At 34.9% G+C, this 15447-nt stretch overlaps 1 protein-coding gene across 1 annotated transcript in view; it reads left to right on the top strand.

Annotated features, from left to right (window-relative positions):
* The window catches only part of ADGRL4 (adhesion G protein-coupled receptor L4), a 116967-nt gene that overhangs the window by 67123 nt on the left and 34397 nt on the right, over positions 1–15447 (top strand). The window contains exons 4-8 of the mRNA NM_022159.4: positions 350–420; positions 1329–1508; positions 1618–1801; positions 3197–3313; positions 12517–12722. Of these exons, the coding sequence (NP_071442.2) occupies positions 350–420; positions 1329–1508; positions 1618–1801; positions 3197–3313; positions 12517–12722 (758 nt within the window). The remainder of the gene's footprint in view (positions 1–349; positions 421–1328; positions 1509–1617; positions 1802–3196; positions 3314–12516; positions 12723–15447) is intronic.

Here is a 15447-nt window from a genome sequence, read left to right as displayed (position 1 = left end):
TATAAAATATGTAGTACACAGTTGTGAAGTATCACAGAGCTACATCTTCCAAGAAATGTGCCTGCATTCCTTTATCTTCTATGGAACAAAGAAATGAAAGCCTATTTTTTTTAATTTAATCAAAATTGTAGATAATATTTTATGGAACTAACATTTCTTGGCCCTTAAAACCCTTTTATTTCATTTTCTGTAAAATATTGCACATTCTAAAACTGAAGAGGAAATTCAAGTGTTAGAGAATGTCTTTTTAATATTTAAATAAGTGAGAAAGATCATTGGGATTGATATGATCAGCTTAGGAAAAATACTTTTTAAAACTGACTGTATAATCTATTTTCTTTTTTTACAGAAAATGTGAATGCAAACTGCCATTTAGATAATGTCTGTATAGCTGCAAATATTAATAAAACTTTAACAAAAGTAAGTAGAACAGTTAACAATTTATTTTATTTTGACATTTTGGTTTCAATTAAAATGCTTTCAATGTCACACATTTCAAGAAGAGTAAACAGTAGTCAAACTTTAGGGAGAGTCGAAAACGTTTACATATAGAGATCTAAGCATCATGTTTGCATCAAAGATAGGGTTAATTTGAAAATCCTCAAATTATTCAAGAGGCCTTTTACATATTTCATATGCTACATTTTCATTACTCCATATGTTGGAAAATTCTTTTTGTGTAAAAAATGTTGATTAAAAAATAGTAAAGAGATACTTTGACTCTAGACCCATTCCCACATTCTAAGTAGACATAATTGAATGCACCTAGATTTGGTACTTCAAAGTGAACATTCAAAGAGCAAATAAAGTAGGTGATTTATAAAATAATTGTCGTATGATTGAAAATGTGAATCTCAACATGAGTAATAAACTGTCAGTTTAAAGCAAATTTTCACTTAATCACATTGTAAAGAATTTTCTTTGGTTGATTAAAATCTAATTTAAAGTATTATCATTTATTGCTTAGGATATCAATATTTATAAGTACTAAGAAGTTTAAGTATTAAGGTAGATTCATTGGCTAGGATATAATTCTATACTGAAGAATAGGAAGTTATTTTGAAAGCTCATTTAAAAAAATTATTAATTCAAACATGCTCTATTTCTTTTCTAAAGTCAAGTCTAGGCTTTTAAGTTATTTGCTAATCTCTTGTAAATAAATTCAGGTTTCAATGATGCATGTTATGGTTTAGGTTTATTAGTTTGATATTATTTATGTGTAGACCAAGGAAACCAACCTCAGGGTAAATTTAACATGTAAGTTTTATTCTTGTAAAACTCCAGTAGAACTAATTTAGTTTCCTTTTTCTGGACTCATTTTTTCTCAGATCAGATCCATAAAAGAACCTGTGGCTTTGCTACAAGAAGTCTATAGAAATTCTGTGACAGATCTTTCACCAACAGATATAATTACATATATAGAAATATTAGCTGAATCATCTTCATTACTAGGTTACAAGAACAACACTATCTCAGCCAAGGACACCCTTTCTAACTCAACTCTTACTGTAAGTATGTTCAGCTTTAACTCAATATAATTGAGCTTTGAATTTTTCCTTTCATTTGTGAATAGTGTAGGATTCCAACATTTCTAAAAGACATACTTTTTTTCAATAGGAATTTGTAAAAACCGTGAATAATTTTGTTCAAAGGGATACATTTGTAGTTTGGGACAAGTTATCTGTGAATCATAGGAGAACACATCTTACAAAACTCATGCACACTGTTGAACAAGCTACTTTAAGGATATCCCAGAGCTTCCAAAAGACCACAGAGTTTGATACAAATTCAACGGATATAGGTAAGAAACAAGGGTCCATTTAAAAGTAATTGTGTTTTCCAAATAAGCCATTTTCAAAGTTTTGGGTGGGGTTAGGAGGCATGGTGTTGAAACTAGTATTGATTACATTGAAAGTAGTTTTATCAGTGTACAAATGAATGGTGATGCATATTGCAAAAGCATTGTGAATAAAGTACCAGTCAAAAGGATAAATCCACAAGTGTCTCCTTCCTATCATATCCACCTTTTCTGATTCCTGAACTGTACAGCCATTAAATGGTCAGAGTACATTATTCCCTTGGCATTTTGAGTCCATCATCTCATGACTTGTTAGGATCTACCTTGACCAATGATCTTTTGGATTTTGTTTGTCTGTTTGTTTAAAGACAAAGTCTGGCTCTGTCACCCAGGCTGGAGTGCAGTGGCGCAATCTCAGCTCACTGCAACCTCCACCTTCTGGTTTCAAGCAATTCTCCTGTCTCAGCCTCCCAACTTGCTGGGATTACAGGCGTGTGCCAGCACACCTGGCTAATTTTTGTTCTTTTGGTAGAGATGGGGTTTCACCATGTTGGCCAGGCTGGTCTCGAACCCCTGGCCTCAAGCCATCCACTTGCCTCGGTCTCCTAAAGTGCTGGGATTACAGGCATGAGCCACCATGCCCAGCCGGATATAACACATTTAAACTTCTATTTAAGAATCCTTTGCATGTTCATAATATAAAGCAATCAACATAGCAAATTAGAATGTTTCCTGCTTCATGCAAATTCATACTTAAAATATTCAGAATCTTGTATCAAATTGAGGATCCCTATAAACTTTTTCTGAGGAAGCAAGGTAAGTTAGCTGAAATAATCACTGCAGACATCTTTATTGCATTTTCTGGTTGGCATTCTGCTGTGCAACAGCAGATTTACAAAAATCTCATCAGGATTCATCGTTTACTCTAAATCAAAGTTTCAAGCATTATGACTAATATATAGGTGCTCTATATTTTTATAATGTTTCTGCATGAAAATGGTGATAATACAGCAGGTCAAAGGAATTATCACTCAAACGTTTAATTAAATCACTCATTAGTAAGTTGTAGACACTATTCTGTAAGCCATTGTAGTTGCTTATCTTTGCTTTAGTAATTATAATTTTATAGCTTGCTTGGTTACATACACATATTATATTTTATTTAATGCAAAAAAAGTTAAACCATGAGTGCCATAGTGAAATTAAAAAATTAAAACTTGAGTCAGATTTTTAACATATACATTACATTGTCCAAACACATTAAGAATGTTCACTCTACTTGTTATAAATAATTTAAAACACAATAATGATGGATGAAATTGTCTCTAAGCTAATATATTTATGATGTATATTGATTAAAGTAATTTCACTTTTTTTATTTTCATGGTTTTGTTTCAGCTCTCAAAGTTTTCTTTTTTGATTCATATAACATGAAACATATTCATCCTCATATGAATATGGATGGAGACTACATAAATATATTTCCAAAGAGAAAAGCTGCATATGATTCAAATGGTAGGACTTTAACAATCTAACAGACAATATATCAATGAATTTGCAATAAATATTTATCATGCATTTGATTATGTCATATGTACATGTAACATGTGGTTTCCTATAAAAACATTTGATGTATGTACAGTATACAGAATATCCATATTCTTTTTTTTTTTTTTTTTTTTTTTTGAGACGGAGTCTCGCTCTGTGGCCCAGGCGGGAGTGCAGTGGCGCAATCTCGGCTCACTGCAAGCTCCGCCTCCCGGGTTCACGCCATTCTCCTGCCTCAGCCTCCCGAGTAGCTGGGACTACAGGCGCCCGCCATCACGCCCGGCTAATTTTTTTGTATTTTTAGTAGAGACGGGGTTTCACCGTGTTAGCCAGGATGGTCTCGATCTCCTGACCTCGTGATCCGCCCGCCTCGGCCTCCCAAAGTGCTGGGATTACAAGCGTGAGCCACCGCGCCCGGCCCAGAATATCCATATTCTTACTTGAGATTTCCATTCTGTTATAAATACCTGGGGAGGATTTTGGCTGACAATATCTGGGTCCTTGTCTTACCTCCAACTTTTGTTACTGTCTGAAATTGTTGAGATTCTAATGAAAATATACAAAAGAGCTCTGATTTTACTACTCCTTATACAGCAAAGTCACTATATTTGCAGTTCCTTTAATATTTCTTCCTCAATAATCCATCATATTCTTCATCATGAGACAAAATTTGTGATTGTGTGAGGAAGAAAAATAGAGATTTTTTTAAAGTAGGTTTGTTTTTTTTTTTTTAATTTTGCTTAACTCTGGGAAACGTGCACAGCATGCAGGTTTGTTACACAGTTATACGTGAGCCATGGTGGTTTGCCTCAGCTATTGACCCAGTCCTCTAAGTTCCCTCCCCTCTTTCCCCACTCCCCAGCAGGCCCTGGTGTGTGATGTTCCCCTCCCTGTGTCCATGTGTTTTCATTGTTCAACTCCCACTTATGAGTGAGAACATGTGCTGTTAATTTTCTGTTCCTGTGTTAGTTTGCTGAGGATGATGGCTTCCAGCTCTCATCAAAGTCCCTGCAAAGACATGATCTCTTTCCTTTTTATGGCTGCATAGTTTTTCATGGTGTATATGTACCACATTTTCTTTATCCAGTCTATCATTGATGGGCATTTGGGTTGGTTCCATAAATTTGCTATTGTAAATAGTGCTGCAATAAACATACGTGCCCATGTGTATTTATAGTAGAATGATTTATAATCCTTTGGGTACATACCCAGTAATGGGATTGTGGGTTCAAATAGGGTGTCTCTGGTTCTAGATCCTTGAGGAATCACCACTGTCTTCCACAATGGTTGAACTAATTTACATTCCCACTAACAGTGTAAAAGCGTTCCTATTTCTCCACAGCCTCACCAGCATCTATTGTTTCTTGACTTTTTGATAATCACCCTTCTGACTGGCATGAGATGGTATCTCCTTGTGCTTTTGATTTGCATTTCTCTAGTGATCAGTAATGTCGAGCTTTTTTTTCATGTTTGTTGCCTGCATAAATGTCTTCTTTTGAGAAGTGTCTGTCCATATCCTTTGCCCACTTTTTGATGGAGTTGCTTGATTTTTTTCTTGTAAATTTGTTGAAGTTCCTAGTAGATGCTGGGTATTAGACCTTTGTCAGATGGATAGATTGTGAAAATTTTCTCCCATTCTTTAGGTTTCCAGTTCACTTTGATGATAACTTCTTTGGCTGTGCAGAAGCTCTTTAGTTTAATTAGATCTCATTTTTCAATTTTGGCTTTTGTAGCAACTGTTTTTGGTGTTTTTGTCATGAAGTTTTTGTCCATGCCTATGTCCTAAATGGTATTACCTACATTTTCTTCTAGGAGTTTTATGGTTTTGGGTTTTACATTTAAGTCTTTAATCCATCTTGAGTTAATTTTTGTCTGTGGTGTAAGGAAGGGGTCCCATTTCAGTTTTCTGCATATGGCTAGCCAGTTTTACCAGCACCATTTATTGAATAAGAGATCCTTTCCCCTTTGCTTGTTTTTGTCAGGTTTGTTGAAGATCAGATGGTTGTAGATGTGTGGTGTTATTTCTGAGGTCTCTGTTCTTTTTGGTACTAGTACCATGCTGTTTTGGTTACTGTAGCCTTGTAGTATAGTTTGAAGTCAGGTAGTGTGATGCCTCCAACTTTGTTCTTTTTGCTTAGGATTGTCTGGGCTATATGGGGTCTTCTTTGATTCCATATGAAATTTAAAGTATTTTTTTTCTAATTCTGTGAAATAGTCAATGGTAGTTTGAATAGCATGAATCTATAGATTACTTTGGGCAGTATGGCCATTTTCACGATATTGATTCTTCCTATCTGTGAACACGGACAATTTTTCCATTTGTTTGTGTCCTCTCTTACTTCCTTGAGCAGTGATTTGTACTTCTCCTTGAAGAGGTCCTTCACATCCCTTGTTAGCTGTATTCCTAGGTATTTTGTTCTCTTTGTAGCAATTGTGAATGGGAGTTCATTCATGATTTGGCTCTCTGCTTGTCTATTGTTGGTGTGAAAGAATGCTTGTGATTTTTGCACATTGATTTTGTATTGTGAGACTTTGCTGAAGTTGCTTATCAGCTCAAGGAGTTCTGAGCCTGAGATGATGGGGTTTTCTAAATAAACAAACATGTCATCTGCAAACAGAGACAATTTGACTTCCTCTCTTCCTATTTGAATACCCTCTATTTCTTTCTCTTGCCTGATTGCCCTGGCCAGAACTCCCAATACTACATTGAATAAGAGTGGTGAAAGAGGGCATCCTTATCTTGTACCAGTTTTCAAAGGGAATGCTTCCAGCTTTTGCCCATTCAATATGATATTGGCTGTGGGTTTGTCATAAATAGCTCTTATGATTTTAAGATATGTTTCATCAGTATCAAGTTTGTTGATAATTTTTAACATGAAGGGATGCTGAATTTTGTCAAATGCCTTTTCTGCATCTATTGAGATGATCATGTGGTTTTTGTCTTGGGTTCTGTTTATGTGATGGATTACATTTATTGATTTGTGTATGTTGAACCAGCCTTGCATCCCAGGGATGAAGCTGACCTGATTGTGGTGGATATGTTTTTTGATGTGCTGCTGGATTCATTTTGCCAGTATTTTATTGAGGATTTTTGCATCAATGTTCATCAGGGATATTGGCCTGAAGTTTTCTTTTATTGTTGTGTCTCTGCCAGGTTTTGGTATCAGGATGATGGCTGGCTTCATAAAATGAGCTAGGGAGGATTCCCTCCTCCTCAATTTTTTGGAATAGTTTCAAAAGGAATAACACCAGCTCTTCTTTGCACCTCTGGTAGAATTCCAGAGGCTGTGAATCAGTCTGGCTCTGGGCTTTTTTTGTTTGGGAGGTTACTAATTACTGCTTCAATTTCAGAACTTGTTATTGGTCTATTCAGGGATTCGACTTTTTCTTGGTTTAGTCTTGGGAAATTGTATGTGCCCAGGAATTTATCCATTTTTTCTAGATATTCTAGTTTTTTTGCATGAAGATGTTTATAGTATTCTCTGATGGTAGTTTGTATTTCTGTAGGGTCAGTGGTGATATCCCCCTTATCATTTTTATTGTGCCTATTTGATTCTTCTCTCTTTTCTTCTTTATTAGCCTAGCTTGTGGTCTATTTTGTTAATTTTTTTTTAACCAGCTTCTGGATTCATTGTTTTTTTTTTTTTTGGAGGGGTTTTTGTGTCTCTATCTCCCTCAACTCTGCTCTGATCTTAGTTATTTCTTGCCTTCTGCTAGCTTTTGGATTAGTTTGCTCTTGCTTCTCTAGCTCTTTTAATTGTGATGTTAGGGTATTGATTTGAGATTTTTCTAGCTTTCTGTTGTGGGCATTTAGTGCTATAAATTTCCCTCTTAATACTGCTTTAACTGTGTCCCAGAGATCTGGTACCTTGTCTCTTTGTTCTCATTGGTTTCAAAGAACTTCTTGATTTCTGCCTTAATTTCATTATTTACCCAGGATTCATTCAGGAGCAGGTTGTTCAACTTCCATGTAAGTGTATGGTTTTGAGTGAGTTTCTTATTCCTGCATTCTAATTTGAATGCACTGTAATCTGAGAGACTGTTATGATTTCAGTTTTTTGCATTTGCTGAGGAGTGTTTTACTTCCAGTTATGTAGTCGATTTTAGAATAAGTGCCATGTGGCACTGAGAAGAATGCATATTCTGTTGATTTGGGGGTAAGAGTTCTGTAAATGTTTATTAGGTCCACTTCATCCGGAACTGAGTTCTAGTCCTGATTATCCTTGTTTATTTTCTGTCTCATTGATCTGTCTAATATGGACAGTGGGGCGTCAAAGTCTCCCACTATTATTGGATGGGAGTCTAAGTCTCTTTGTAGGTCTCTAACAACTTGTTTTATGAATCTGGCTCCTGTATCGGGTGCATATATATTTAGGATAATTAGCTCTTCTGGTTGACTTGATCCCTTTACCATTATATAATGCCCTTCTTTGTCTGTTTTGATATTTATTGGTTTAAAGTCTGTTTTGTTGGAGAGTAAGATTGCCAACTCCTGCTTTTTTTTTCTTTCCATTTGCTTGGTTAATTTTCCTCCATCCCTTTATTTTGAGCCTATGTATGTCTTTGCACATGATATGGGTCTCCTGAACATAGCACACCGATGGGTCTCAACTCTTTATCCAATTTGCCAGTCTGTGCCTTTAAATTAGGGCATTTAGCCTACTTACACTTAAGGTTAGTATTGTTATGTGTGAATTTGATCCTGTCATCATGATGCTATCTGGTTATTTTACACACTAGTTGCTGCGGTTTCTTCATAGTGTCATTGGTCTTTATATTTTGGTTGCTTTTGCAGTGTCTGGAACCAGTTTTTCCTTTCCATATTCAGTGCTTCTTTCAGGAGCTTTTGCAAGGCAGGACTGGTGGTGACGAAATCCCTCAGCATTTGCTTGTCTAGAAAGGATTTTATTTCTCCTTCGCTTGTGAAGCTTAGTTTGGCTGGATATGAAACTCTGGGTTGAAAATTCTTTTCTTAAAGAATGTTGAATATTGGCCCCCAATCTCTTCTGACTTGCAGAGTTTCTGCTGAGAGGTCCATTCTTAGTCTGATGAGCTTCCCTTTATAGGTGGCCTGCCCTCTCTGTCTGGCTGCCCATAACATTTTTTCCTTAATTTTGGCCTTGGAGAATCTGTTTATGTGTCTTGGGGTTGATCTTCTCGTGGAGTATCTTAGTGGTGCTCTCTGTATTTGCTGAATTTGCATGTTGGCCTGTCTTGCTAGGTAGGAGATAAAGTAAGTTTCTTAGGCTTAGATTTCTCTTATAATTTGTATTTTTCTTAGTCTTTGTATAGTAAACTCTTCAACTAAACAACCCTTTTTAAAAATTGTATCAAAATTCAATGTTGATTCAATTCTGGTACTAGCAAGCAAATTAATGATTAAATAACTGAATATCCTTCTTATATGGATGATGTAACTAATGTGCAAACTTAATAGATTTGTTCCATGTCCATCAGCAGACAGTACAGAACCGCTAAAAGCTGATTCTTCTAAAAAGAAATCAGCTTTTCCAGACCAAGCACGGTGGCTCGCGCCTGTAATCCCAACACTTTGTGAGTCCAAAGTGGGTGGATCATGAGGTCAGGAGTTCAAGAACAGCCTGGCCAGGATGGTGAAACCCCATCTCTACTAAAAATACAAAAATTAGCCAGGTGTGATGGTGGGTGCCTGTAATCCCAGCTACTCAGGTGGCTGAGGCAGAGAATTGCTTGAACCGGGGAGATGTAGGTTGCAGTGAGCTGAGATCCCACCACTGCACTCCAGCCTGGGTGACAGAGCAAGAATCCATCACAAAAAAAAAAAAAAAAAAAAAATCAGCTTTTCCTTGGTACCTAACTAGCAAGTAAGTAGTTACTATTTCAATTTAATCATTTATCTGTTATCTTAGTGCAATGCATTTAGAAAAAACCCTGCTGATAGTAGAATTTTGTTGTTGTTCTCATATAGGTAAAATTATATTACCTTGAGAAAATAGGAATTGTAAAATTTTTGCAAAGAAAATAATAATAATATTTCCTATTTTCTCTAGGTAATATATTTTTACCTATATGAGAACAACAACAAAATAGTAAAATACAAATGGAAACTATATACCTCAACACACATATGGTCTCATGGAGAGACACTATTTCATAAAAAGAAGTGTTTTCGTATCCTCTATTCTTTCTTGTTATGTTCTAGTGGGAAATAGCCATAAATGAAGCAAAAATAACTAAGTCATGCTCCCATTGAAACCTTGGCTTTTACTCTATTATACCATATTCTAATTAACCAAGCATACATTTTGTATTTAGGAACAAATCCAAAGAATGTGTTAAACTGTTGAAATTTCAAAGACAATTTGGGTACTGTTTGGAAGTTGGAAAAAAGACATTGAAAATACCGATTATAGTGACAGATGATGAAATTGTCATGGAATTAATATCCTGAAGAAATTTTGTCTGATTGTACGGTAGCTTTGTTATATTTAATGATCCTATGTACAAAGTGACATTTGAAAGGGACAGTAATATTAGCTGTCAGTAAAGGAGAGTAAGAAAATGTGTTTTTCTCAAGGTTGTATCTTAAAAATAAGGACAAATCTAACACATTGATCAAACCCTCTCAATGATGTCTGCAAGTATTTATTAATTTATTGAAAAAATTAGTTAATAAAACACATGCATTCTTTAAAACATAAACAGTACCATTGGTAGGAAAATATAGGAGGTCTATGCAGCACAAGTGGATTTTATTTTTCTTTTTTGAGACAAGGCCTCACCCTGTTGCCCAGGCTAAAGTACAGTGACATGATCATGGCTCACTGCAGTCTTGACCTCCCAGGGCTCCAGTGATCCTTCCACCTGAATCTCCCAAGTAGCTGGGACCAAAGAAACATACCACCATGCTGGGCTAATTATTCTATTTTTTGTAGAGACGTGGTTTTGCCATATTGCCCAGGCTGGTCTCGAACTCCTGCCTCAAGTGATCCTCCCACCTCAGCCTCCCAAAGTGTTGGGATTACAGACCTGAACCACTGTGCCTGGCCCCTGGATTTTTAAATGTATATTTTTTTATAGACTGAATTTTAGAAGAGTAAGGAGGAAGGGTTGAGAATTAATAGAACAAGATTCAATGCTCTGATCTATGGTTTTATGATAAAAAGATAATAGACTTTTGTTAAGAGATTTCACATACTTATTTTCAAATTACTTATGAAATCAACATTTAGGTGAAAAAATAAAGCAGCATATGAAGCTCTATTGAGAAGTGGTTTTAGTCATTCTCAAGTTAAAGTAGCAATAAAGCAGTTTGAGAGCAATGATTCTCTAAGGAGTTCATTGCATAGTGTATGTGGGTAAAATTGATATGGGAATTTAACATAAGGAAAAATCATAACTCCTGTCACCCCAGTAGTTTTCTAATAGTTTGGAAGGCTTGTGCTTGGACCACAGTAATAAAAAACTATTAATTTCATTCAAAAGAATTGGAAGCAACAAAACAAAATAGGAATAAGGAAGAAGACCTACTGAATGGGAATCTTTAAACAAATATATATAGGTATTAATTCTAAAGTAAAGTCTCCACAACTTAGCATAGTTATTTGCACTGTGTAAATGCTCAGATATATGTTCTATCAATTAAATTGAAGGCTATCTCTGGTTCCTGGCAAACATATGGTAATGTTAACAAATACAGGAAAGATCTTAGGGCAAAAAGACTAAAGTAAGCATTGTAAAGAAGAAAAATTAGGAAGAATGGATGATGATTTATTAGGAAATGATCTACTCTTTTCAAATTATTCAAAGTTTTTATGCCCTTTATTAGTGAATGAACCCCTAATTTTTAATAAAAGTACAGGTTTGTTAAGAAAATTCAAAGCTAGATCAAGCCTCAAATTAGTGAGAAATCATAGGAATTGAAGAAGTTCAAAACCCTGGGAATGGACAAATAAATACTGAGATAATATATTTGTAAATGAGGTGAGAAGATATCTTGGAGGATTCTTTGTGGTACCCCTTATCAAAAGTCAAAAATTGATGTTAAATAAATATTTTTCTTCACAAAGGAAAGCAGTAACTAGTAGACTTTAAAAATCCTTCTTATATTTTTGATTCATCATTTGATTTTGAACCATCTTCTACTACAACTCCTGAGATGCCACTGTCCCACGACATGGTTCATCAACTGGACCTGGTCATGTTGACCTAACAGGTATCCAAGTCCTGCCTCAGGCCCTCATCTGTTTATAGCAAAGGCTGGGATAGTTATCATCTTTTGGAGTCATAATTTCACTAGCCCAACAATGTCATACTTTCTTTAATATAAGTTTTGTAAGACGACACTTGAGGAAAATCTTTTATGTAATGTATCTGGGTTTAGCAAGGCTCTTAACAATGTCTCTTGAGGTGCCTTTTTAGATTAAGAGAGAAAACATAAATAGCAATACACTTTGGCAACTTCTAGCTCACACAGTCATATCCAAATAATCCTGTTTATTCATGTGATGTGGAGGTTTCCAGTTTTGTTATTACAGTCCTTTTATTTGATGATATTAATATTTGTATTTATGATTTTGCGCTATTTGGTTATATGCTGGTGCACTGCATTTGGGGAGTTTTAGGGGACATGGATAAATGGCCATCTCTCAAGCAAATAAGTTTTCTACCCCGACACTGCATAATTACATGTTATCAATATTAAATAGAAACCATTTTAGTGGGCATACATTTGAACTCAGTGGCATGTTACAACTCCTTCATCTCTAAATTTTCTTGATTCTATCAGCCTGTGATAATTTCCTCCCAATACCTCTTAAGTTCATATATTTATACAAGGACATAATAACTTGAAACTTTGTTATTCAAGTGAATACACTTCACACTCTGGTTCTTGGTCAGGATTTTGGTGTAAATTTATCTAGGACTATTTTTCTTCTAAAGATAGTTTGTGCAAAGGGGATACTACACAGTTCATGATTATCTTTGAATTCTTTGAGGTCAGAGAATATGTCTTCCTATGGTTTAACAATGCAGGCATAGGCTTATTGTGGTCTATATTTCAGTATCTGGGGATTTGTATAAATTTCTAAAGTAAAATGTTTGTCTATTCAATTTTTATGTTTATCTTAAGAGTCTAAATACACTTTGTTTTATAAGAATTTCACTAAATATACTTATTTGATTGATAGGCAATGTTGCAGTTGCATTTGTATATTATAAGAGTATTGGTCCTTTGCTTTCATCATCTGACAACTTCTTATTGAAACCTCAAAATTATGATAATTCTGAAGAGGAGGAAAGAGTCATATCTTCAGTAATTTCAGTCTCAATGAGCTCAAACCCACCCACATTATATGAACTTGAAAAAATAACATTTACATTAAGTCATCGAAAGGTAAGCTGTTTTTCTGGTAGTTATTGGCTATGATTGTGATACAGTCAGAGAACTGGACTCTTTGTTGTGTCACTTAAATTATCTGAGTTCTTGAGTTTAAAAATACAGATTTGAAATTAAAAGAGTGAAGTAGTTTTAACTAATTTTTGTATAAAATATTCTTGTAGTTTCACAGCTCTTTAAACATTCTAATTAATACCAAGGAATTCATTAATTTGATTCTCTGGAATTAAGCAATATTTTAGTTTTATTTATAAGTACACTGTTTATTTTGGAAATATCCATGGTTTCGAAGAATGAGTTATTAAAAAGTATCACAATCAGAGAAATAAATGTCACTTGTGTAATAAGTGAGGTGTTTCATTAATACTTGTCACTTTAAATAATATTTGAAGGGATTCTGGTGTTGATTAAAAGAAAATTATAGCAACATTTGCAATGTTTCATAAAGAAATTGGTGGAGACCATTTTACTCTTTTATTTTTTATTCTAAATCATTTTTCAGACTCATACATAATTAAAGCTATACAATAAAAAAGCATGATTAGAACTAACCAACTATTTAGCTATTTTAGTTAAAAATGAATGGGGGCAACTCAAAATCACAGGTTATTTGCTACCATTTCACAGTTGATGTTATCTTAAACTTTCAACAGAATTTCAGTTCTAGTACATGATTCGAGTACTTTCGAAGTTCCATTTGAAGTACCTTGAAGTTGAGCAATTATATTTGCATTATTATGGGAGGAAAAGGGGCTTTCTAAACAAAAAGAGTATATTTGCTCACACACAATACAAACATGCCACTGTTAAGTAAAAACATTGAAGGTAGAGAGAAACTAAATGTATAAAAAGTGCAGGTAAATAATAGCTCAAACTTAAATAATGGTAAGCACTATGTTGAGGGAAAAAGAAGGTGTGAAATTGCTTAAGACTGGAAACCAAACTTAGACTTCTTTTTTAGATGCTAAATGCAAAAGACGTTTTTAATACTAGAAACCAAACACTGTTCTTTTACATGGTCTGATGTTTTTTCCGTTTTTCATCAGTGGAATGGTTTGGCAGCTAAAGAGTTGCCAAGAACAACCCACTTCACCAATCCTTGTTTGATAAAAACACAAAACAAAACGCGTATTTAAACAAAAACTCTTCACGGTAATTCCTGGGAAAACTTAGTTGCTTTTATCTGCCTTTCTGCTCAAATATATTTTCCATTCAATAAGTAATGACTGTTATGAAATTTCACCACTCTCCTCTGACAATATACCTGCTTAGTCTCTGGTTCCCTTGCTCTGAGAATGAAATTTCGCTCCCATTTTTTCCCCTGAGAAAATAAAAACTATCTCATAAGTAATATCTTCAGTGTCCTGATTCCCTGATAATTTATCTGCGATTTGACTAATACATAATTCTACAGTACCTCAGAAGAATAGTAACAGTAATTATAGTAGTATTAACCATTCTCATAGCAATCAATAATTACATAGTGCTTATGTTAGAAACCAGGCAGTATTCTAAGTTTTTTTACTTAAAAAAATGAGCGCATTTAATGCTTAGAAAAGCCATATGAGGTACATACTATTATTACCATTTTATAGATGAGGAAACTGAGCCTGTGAGATTAAATAATTTGCTCATGGTCACTCAACAATTAACTGGTAGGAAAAGGTTTCAAGCCCCTGCAGCCTTCCTCCAGAGTCCATGCTCTCAGAAGCTATGATACTCCTGGCCAGTTTGGCCCACTACATCCATCCCAATCTACTTCCCAAGAAATTATGCTCCATCCACCATCTCATCTTTCCTGGATCTCTCCACATTGGTGTCAGTGTCTCAGCTAATAAAAAGACTCAAGTCTCTACCTTATAAAAAAATAAAACCATTCCCCTTTGGTACTGTATCATCTTCAACCAAAAAACCAAAAATTAATAACTCCTTTTATCTTAAGCTTCTAAAAAGTAGATGTAATCTGCTGACTTCCATCTATGGAAGACTCAGATTTAGTTTTCTTACACACATCTTCTGCTGTGATACACACACTCCCTCAACTATCCATCCGCTCATGCTTACCTCCAATTTTTGGTTAAATCAGTTTTCAGTGTTTATAATACTATAAATTGGTGTGTTATTCACAACTGAATCATGGAGCTCAATCATTTCCCTGGTGTTAATAAATTCCTTTATTTTCACTTGCTTAAATTTCTATTTATCCATTGTTAATTTGTCTCCAAAATCTTTGACAGAATTATAAATCTCTTTTCAAAACGTTCAAACATGTAAGCTTATCTATCAGCCAGTTTGTTGTCTTGGAGACATCCTTTCCAAGGCTCTGTAGCCTTGATGCTGTCTAGATGATCTACCCCTGGGTCATTTATCAGCCCAGGCATGCCTTCCCTTCCCCCATCATTTTCACATAACATTCAGCATTCACCTCTCTCCTCTCCTGTGTCAGATGCCATGTTTCCTCCAGCAATGTCTTCCTCTTTCTTAGTTTATATATGTATTTTGGTGGCATATTCTCCAGTGGCCATTTGAAAGAGGAAGCAGAGAAGGTCAATTTTTTAAGCTCTTGCATTATCAGATTTTATATAAATATACATATACACGCAGACACACACAAATATATTTTTCTACCTTACCCTTATATTAGTTAGATAAATACCATGGTACAGAGTTATATTTTTTTCTCAGATCTTTCTAGATCTCGTTCATATGTCTTTCAGCTTTC

The sequence above is a fragment of the Homo sapiens genome, chromosome 1 (assembly GCF_000001405.40).
Source record: "Homo sapiens chromosome 1, GRCh38.p14 Primary Assembly".
In the NCBI taxonomy this organism is placed as follows: Eukaryota; Metazoa; Chordata; class Mammalia; order Primates; family Hominidae; genus Homo; species Homo sapiens.
Note: the sequence above shows the minus strand (reverse complement) of the source record. Positions and strands in the feature narration are given on the sequence as shown.